This window comes from Homo sapiens, chromosome 12, assembly GCF_000001405.40.
Source record: "Homo sapiens chromosome 12, GRCh38.p14 Primary Assembly".
Classification (NCBI taxonomy): Eukaryota; Metazoa; Chordata; class Mammalia; order Primates; family Hominidae; genus Homo; species Homo sapiens.
Window position 1 is genome coordinate 9,386,765 of NC_000012.12, and position 8,605 is coordinate 9,395,369.

The 8,605-nt window shown below is 38.7% G+C and overlaps 1 long non-coding RNA gene across 1 annotated transcript in view; it reads left to right on the forward strand.

Moving 5' to 3' along the window:
* The window catches only part of LINC02367 (long intergenic non-protein coding RNA 2367), a 30,154-nt gene that overhangs the window by 19,301 nt on the left and 2,248 nt on the right, over positions 1 to 8,605 (forward strand). The window contains exon 3 of the long non-coding RNA NR_120479.1: positions 7,767 to 7,893. This is a non-coding gene — a long non-coding RNA (long intergenic non-protein coding RNA 2367). The remainder of the gene's footprint in view (positions 1 to 7,766; positions 7,894 to 8,605) is intronic.

The window sequence follows — 8,605 nt, forward strand, 5'->3', positions numbered from 1 at the left end:
GAGTACTTGCCTGAGCTTTCAATTACATTCCATCGACCTATACATCTGTCCTTATGCTGGTACCATACTCTTGATTACTTTGTAAGTTTTGAAGTTAGGATGGTAAGTCCTCCCACCTTGTTCTTTGTCAGGATTGTTTTGCTTATTCCGTGTCCTTTGCATTTCCATGTGAATTTTAGGATTCATTTGCCAATTTCTGCAGAAAAGGCAGCTGGGATTTTGGCAGGAATTGGGTTGAACCTGTAGACCAATTTTGAGAGTGTTGATATCTTAGTAACATTTAGTTTTCAGATCTATGAACAAGTAACATCTTTCATTTCTTTAGGTCTTCTTTAATTTCTTTCAACAATGTTTTGAAGTTCTTAGTGTACAAGTTTTCCTGTTGTTAAATTTATTTCTAAGTATTTTATTCTTTTGGATGCTATTGTGAATGGAATAATTTTCTTAATTTCATTCTTGGACTGTTCATTGCTAGTGTATAGAAATACAATTGATTTTTCTATGCCAATTTTGTGAACTTGCTGAACTAGTTCTAGGGTTTTTTTTTTAGGGGATTCCTTAGGATTTTCTGTATACAAGATCATGTCACTTGTGAGTAAGACAGTTTTACTTCTTTTCTAGTCTGGATTCTGTTGTATATGGATCGCCTAATTGCCTGGGCCAAAACCTCATTACAAAACTGAATAGACCTGCTGAACATGGCCATCCTTGTCTTATTCCCAATCTTAGGGGGAAAGCATTCAGCCTTGCACCATTAAATGTGTTAACTGTAAGGTTTTCACAGATGCTTTGTATTATGTTGATGAAGTTCCTTCCTGTTTCTAGTTTGTTGAGAATTTTTTTTTTCCATGCGTGGGTAGATAATTTTACTCTCATTTACAGAAAAGGAAATGGTTATTCAAGCAGCCTGCCTCCAGACCAAGCCCTGGATTATGGTGCTCTCTACAGCACTCTCTTCCATTTAATTTTTCCTCTGCGCCTCCTCTAAATTCTCTTTGAGCTCACTGGGGAATGTTGGTGTTCTCCAGGATTCTCAGCACTTTGCTTGGGTGCTTCTCTGCTGAAGTGGGAGAATGGATTCAGCCATCACCTGCAAGCTGATGACTCCACATTCCCTGTCTTCTGCTCTGAGCTCCGGTGAATCCTCATGCTCCCAAGACTTTTCCACTTGGATACAGTCAGGAAATCTCAAACCCATCCTGTCCTAGAATGCCCCGTTATCCCTCTCCACTCAAGTGGTCTTCTCTGCCTCTATTTTCAACATTGTATGCTTCTGCCATTTGTCCTGTTCCAGCCTGAAACCTGGGCGTGATCCAGCACTTTTCCCTTTCCTTGACCCCTCCTCTCACCTTTTCTAATCAGTGGCCAAGTCTGACATATTTTTTCTCCTCACCTCCACTGCTACTGATACAGGAGGTAAAGAAATTATTTAGGCAGATAGTGAGGGGAACAGAGTCCTTGGCAGAGCTTCCCTTCTAACAAAAAGCAGCCCAACAAATTTTTTTTCTAACAAAGAGCAGCCTGAAAAATTGAGCTGCAAACATAGATAAGCAAGCTGGAAGCTTGCACGGGGGAATGCTGGCAGCTGTGCCAATAGAAAAGGGCTACCTGGGGGCCGGGCATGTCCAACATAGAGGGCCCATCTTCCCTTTTCTGTCACCACGTGTGCAGTAATAGAGAAATGGGCAACATGGCGCGGCTCAGGCAGAGAACCCACCTGCATAATACAAGATTAGGGAGGGGGCGACTAGAATTTCTCACCCTATGCAAACGACACACCTGGTCTAAGCAGTTTTTCATGCCCTGTGCAAATGGCATGCTTGGTCTGACTAGTCTTTCATGTCCTATGTAAATCAGACACCACCTCCTCACCAGCTCATCTATAAAACCCTCTGCATTTGGCCGTGGACTGGCAATCCATTTCTCTGTGACCCCTCTCTGCAGCAGAGAGCTTTTCTTCTGCCTGTTGAACTTCCACTCTTAACCTCACTCTTTGTGAGTCCGCATCCTTGTTCTCCATGGCTGTGAGACCACAAACTTCAGGTGATACTCCAGACAATGAGGCCGTTTCATTATTGCCTTGCTCCTGCCTCCAGTCTCATTCCCCTCAAATTCACCCTCCACTTTACCAACAGAGCAATTTCTCTGAATTACAGATCCTCTCATCCTTAGCCCTTTAGTGGTTCCCTATTCCCATAGCACAGCAATTAAGGCCTTTCCTCATCTGTTCATTTCATACACTAGGAACTTCCACTAAAGATTGAAGTCACTGAATGCACTTTCTGATGCCAATTTTAATAGCCTCATGCTGCTTTCATCATTTGATGTTAGAAACAGTGTTAACCAGAAACAATGTTACCCACTTGACTCTGCTTTCTTCTGCATGTCGTGTTTTCTCTGTGTCAATGCTTCTTGTGTACTCTGTTGTCTTTTTAAAATATTAAACTTATTTCAATAGAGACAGGGGTCTCACTATGTTGCCCAGGTTGGTCTCGAACTCCTGGGCTCAAGTGTTCCCCTCAGCTCGACCTCCCAAAGTGGTGAGCTTACAGGCACAAGCCACCACTCCTGGCCCTGTTGTCTTTTTTTGAAAAGTTCTTTCTCCTCCCATGCCATTCCCTCTATTCCTTTACATCCTGAAAAGCCCTACTCAGTAGGCCCTCTTCTTTGAACCTCCTCCTAGCTGGTGCATAATTATGCCCTCCTCTGTATTATTTCAGAACATTGTGTATGCCTATAATATCACATATGTTATCCTATGTTATAAGTATTTGTCATGTTTTTCTCTAGATTTATACTAGACTTATCTTAAATACTCTCATAATTGCCAGCATATAGAAAATGCCTAAAGAATATTTGTTGAATCCACCTGAATTAGGATTTGTCTATAAGCCTCTTTGCTTTTAATAAACAATTTTCTAATTTGTCAGACAGTTTAAATGCATTTTGAAGAGAACATACTTAAAAAAATAACATTTTAAATGTGACAATGTAACATATGCTTATTTTAGACTATACAGAACATATTGAAAAGCCCTTCGAAGAACAGAAAAATGATTTTTAAATGTACAATCTGGGTACTGTTAGTCCAAACTGCACTGTTTTGTAAGCCCCCTGCCGTTTCACAGACCTTGGCAGAGCAAAACATTCCATGGGGGTTCCACCGTGAGAAATGTCCTGCCCCACCACCTGACCACAAGGCACAGGAATGTCCTTATCATACCCTGCCGAGCAAAGGCCCAACTGAAGGAACATCTTTGTCAAGCAGCAAACCACGCCACCCAGACCCTGCCCGCCCATACCTATAAGTACCCTAGCCTGTAAGCGGTGGTGGGCTCTGGCGTTAAGCTGGTCCCCCACCTCAGCAGGTCGCTCTGGCAATAAACTTGTGTTGCTGTCGAGCTGCCAGCTCTTCCTGTGTCTTTTTTTAACCTTCGCCTTCCCTTCAAAAACTAACAGATATGTTACCATTTTGATGTATTTCCTTTCAGTTTTATCTGTGCATTCATATGTGAGTGTATGTACACATACATATGTGTATAGTTGTATGTATATATGTAGTATACACATAAGTGTATAATCTGGATATATCCAACTCCGTTATCCATATCATTGGCTATGTCTACAACAATAGTATAGATACTTTTTGTAACCTGTCTTTTTTTGTTGTTAATTATTGTGGATACATATCAGTTGTACCTATTTATTGGGTACATGTGATATTTTGATGCAAGCATACAAAATGTAATAATCAAACCAGAGTACTTGGGATGCCCATCACCTGAAGCATTGATCATTTCTTTGTATTAGGAACATTCCAATTCCACTCTTTCAGTTATTTTGAAATATACAATAAATTATTAAGTACAATCACCCTATTGTGCTACTGAACACTAGGTCATAATCCTTCTAACTGTATTTTTATACCCATTATCCATTTCCTTGTCTTTTTTAACTTAATGTAGTGTGAGCATTTCCCCATCATCAAATATCATTTTATAAAATTATTTTAAATAACTGCATTTATAAAATAGCCACATTTTATAAAATTATTTTAAATAACCTCACTCGTGAATACTGGGGTAGCTGGGGATAAATTTTTAGGCTCATTGTTATTGTCCCTCAAAACGTGGAAGTTATTATTCCATTGTCTCATCTACTGCTGCTGATGATTTAGGCTCATTGTTATTTTCCCTCAAAACGTGGAAGTTATTATTCCATTGTCTCATCTACTGTTGCTGATGAGATGTCTGCTGTTGGCTTGGCAATCTTTTCTTTGCAGCAAATCTTTCTTTTTTCTTTTAACCTTTTGGTGTTTCCTCATTTTTTAAATTTTTTCTTTTATCCCAATGTGTCTAGGGGTTTATCTACTATCTAATAAATAAATATGTATTTTTAATCCTGTAAAAGACTTGATGTGCCTTTTCAACCCAAGGGTTATCTTTTTTAATTCTGAAAAATTCTCAGCCATTGTCACTTCAATGATTACCTCTTGCCCAACTACTCAATTTTTTTTTAATTCCCCTTAAGCACATATTGGAGTAAAACTCTATTTTACTTTGCTCATCTTTCTACATATCTGTGCTGTAAATTGGTCACTCTGTCTTCCAATTCACTCATTCACTCTTCAGCTGTGCCTAGTCTGCTGTGAAACCTATCTAGAGAGTTGTTTAAATCAATCTCTGTTTTTCTGTTTTGGACCCATTAACAAAAATACAGCTCCATGTTTCTTTTATGTAAAATGCTGTATTTACCTTAAAGTTCTTCTTTTAACTTAATTCTTTTCGATAGTTTAACACACATAAGTTTATGAAACAATACGTACACCTCAATGACTTGTCACAAAGGAGTATCTATGTCATCATCATCTAGGTTAGAAAAACAAAAAAGGACACTGCCAGCACTCCAGAATCCACCATTGCGATGCTCCCTAGTCTCTATTCCCTCCCAAGGTGAGGATTAACCTGACGTTTATTATATAAAAATCACTTGGTTGATTTTCTTTAAAGTTTTTATTTTGAAATGATTGTAGATTCACAGAGAGTCACAAAAGTAGTAGACAGAGTCCCTTGGATGCTTTACCCGGCTTTCCCTAACAGAACAGCTATCTTACAGAACAGCAGGACACCATCAAAACCAGGGCATGGGCATTGTCTGACTATTGTTAGACTACAGACCTTATGCAGTTTTCACAGTGTTTGCATGCACTCCTTTGTGTGTGTGTGTTCTATGCAAGGTGATCTCATGTGTAGTATCCTGTAACCACTTGCACCAACTGTCCTTGCCAAAGAACTGTTTCATCACTGAGAGGAATTCACTTGTGCTACCTCTTTTTAGTCACATCCTCGTACCTTGTCCCTGTCTCCTGGCAACCACCAATCTGTCCTCCATCTCTATAGTTTTGTTAGTTGGAGTGGAACAGGAATTAAAAGAAATTAAAGAATGTGTAAGCAAAAACTCAGTTGTATGTAAGAAAACCCAATTCCCCCTGAGGAAGAGAAAGAGCTGGAGTCCTTTAAAAATTAACTGCCTGTTTTTCTGTGGCTAGTGAGCCTTATCTCTCCCTTTCCCAGGCATTATGAAGACCCTGTTTCTCTAGCTGTGCAGCTCCAAGGTCACTAGACAGATAAACTCAAGTTGTAAAATATGTTTTTCCTTGAAAAGTAAGAAATAATGTAATGCAAGTCTCAATTGAATAACTGTCTTTGTTTCTCGCTTCTGTAATATGCTTCCCCCTGCACAAATCTTCCCCCACCCATGAAATGCTTAAAAGGTAACTTGACTCTTTGTTCGGGGCTCAGTCCTTTGGATGTTAATCTGACTGGGCCAATGCACCTAAATAATAATAATAAATCCTCCTCAACCCCTCGGTCTCTCTGATTCCTAAATTATCCCACAACAGGAGAATGTTTTATACATGGAAGCTTGTAAGTGTAAAACCTTTTAGAAGATTGGCTTTTTTCATAAGAGGAAGTTTTTTCTTTCGTCAACAAAAGCCAAAAGCCAATCTTCAACAAAAGATTGGCTTTTTTCACCAAGTTTCACGCTCTAACAAAACCTCCAAGTTTTTGCCTGTATCAATAATTTCTTGCTTTTTATTCCTGGGTAGTAGTCTCTTATATGGATATGGTAGAATTTGTTGAGTCTTTCACCATTGAAAGATATTTGGGTGGTTTCCAGTTTGAGGCTATTTTGAATAAAACTTTTAAGAACATTGATGTACAGGTTTTTGTGAACCTGCTTTCATTCTTCAGGTTAAATCCTGAAGAGTGAAATTGCTGAGTCACATAGGACATGTACCTTTGGTTTTATAAGAAACTGCCAAACTCTTTTCCAGAGTGGCTATACCTTGTTCAAGTGATGCCAGTGATGTGTGAGTTGTCTGGTTTCTAAGCAATCTTGCCAGGATTTGGTGTCATCATTGAGCTTATCCTTTCTAACAGACATAGCGATACTTCATTGTTTTAATTTGCATTTCTCTAATGGTTACTGATGCTGATCATATTCACTTGTGCTTATTTGCTGTTCATGTTCTTTCTTTGACAAAATGTCTTTTCATGTCTTTTGCCCACTTTTACACCGGATTGTTTTTTTAAAAAAAATGTGTTGAATTTTGAAGGTTCTTCATAGATTCTACATACAAGTCCTTTGTCAGCTATATGGTTTGCAGGTGTTTTCACTCAGCCTGTAGCATGTCTTTTCATCCTCTTAATAAGATCCTTCACAGAGCAAAAGTCCTACATATTGAGGAAGTTCATTTTGTCAGTATTTTCTTCTACAAATTGTTATATTGGTGTCATGTCTAACAACTTAGTCTTGAATATTTCTCCTATGGTTTCTTCTAAAAGTTTCATAGTGTTACATTTTTTATTTAAATCTGTGCTCCGTTTGAATTAATGTTTATATAAAGGTAGGAGCTTTAGGTTGAGGTTCAATTTTTTGCTTATGAAAGTTCAATTGTTTCAGTAGCATTTGTTGAAAGATTCTCCTTTCTCTATTGAGTTGTCTTTGCAGCTTTGTTAGAAATCAATTTTCCATGTCAGTGTGGATCTATTCCTGGATACAGTCTGTCCCATTGATCTCTGTGTCTATCCCTTTGCTGGAATCACACTGTCTTGATTACTTCAGCATTGGAGCAGAACTTTAAAATTGTGTAGCATCGCTTTTCTGACATCATTCTTTTTTCTACCTTTTAATCTTTACATGTCTTTTAAAATCAGATTACCTGATATACAACATATCCTATGGTGGGATTTCGATGGAGTTGTATTAAAAGTATAGATCAATTTGGGAAGAATTGAAGTCTTTATTAAGTATTTCTACCCATGGATCCATGTATTTCTTCATTGATTTAGGTCTTCTGTGATTTTGTTTACAGCATTTTGTACATTTTCAGCATACAGATCTTATATAGACTCAATCATTTCATTTTTTCAGAGATAGTACAAATGCAATTATTTTAAAATGTTGATTTTCTGTTAGTTATTGTTAGTATATACAAATTAAATGAGTTTTGTATTTTGAACTTGTGCTACTTCTGGAATGTGTGTGTGTGTGTGTGTGTGTGTGTTTGTGCACGTGTTTATGTAGTCCTTGGAATATACCATAACCAAGTGGGTTCTTCCTGGGAATGCAAGACTGCTTCAATACTTGAAGATCAGTCAATGTAATCTGCCATAGTAATAATCTAACAAGAAAATCAACATGATCACATCAATTGATATAGAAAAAAAATTTACAGAATTCAACATATTTTCCTATTACAGATTTTCTGCAAACTAGGAATAGAAGCAAGCTTCTTAACCTGATGTATCGCACCTTCAAAAAGCCTACAGCAAACATCTTACTTAGTGATGAAAAACTGATTGCCTTCCCCATAAGATTGAGAACCAGGCAAGGATGTTTACTCTCATCACTCCTATCCAACATGGTACTGGAAGTCCTAGCCAATACAATAAGGGAAGAAAATGACACAAAATAAAGGTAGTAAGATTAGAAAGAAAGAAATTGTCTCTATTCACAAACAAGGTGATTTCTTTTCCTTTTTCTTCTTTTTTTTTTTAAGAGACAGGTTCCTTCTCTGTCACCCAGGCTTAAGTGCGATCATGGCTCATTGTATCCTCAAACTCCTGGGCACACACAAACAGTCCTCCTGCCTCAGCCTCCCAAGTAGCTAGGACTACCGGTGCATGCTGCCAAGCCCAGATAATTTTTTTTATTTTTTGGAGACACAGGTAGTCTCATTCTGGTTTCAGCTCTGGAAGGGGCGAAGAACAAGTCCCCAGAGCCCATCCTGTCCCTCGTGGATGACATACTGAGGGCTCAGGAAGACGCTCCCTCACAGCCTGCCCCAGTTTCCAGGCTGAGCCACCTGAGCAGCTGCTTCGGAAAGCCTCTTGTGCCATAGCCATGCTTAGGAAAAAGCATATCTTCCATTCAATTCACCAAGAAACACCAAGAAATAACTGGATACAAAGAATAAAAAATACTCTGGTGTGGCAGGGCAGGAGGGTGAAAATTGTGCCCCCTCCAAAGGTAATGTCTATAAAAGGATAACTAAGGCCAGCGCCAAAGTCCACCTACAGAAGGCGGGTCTGTCTCAACC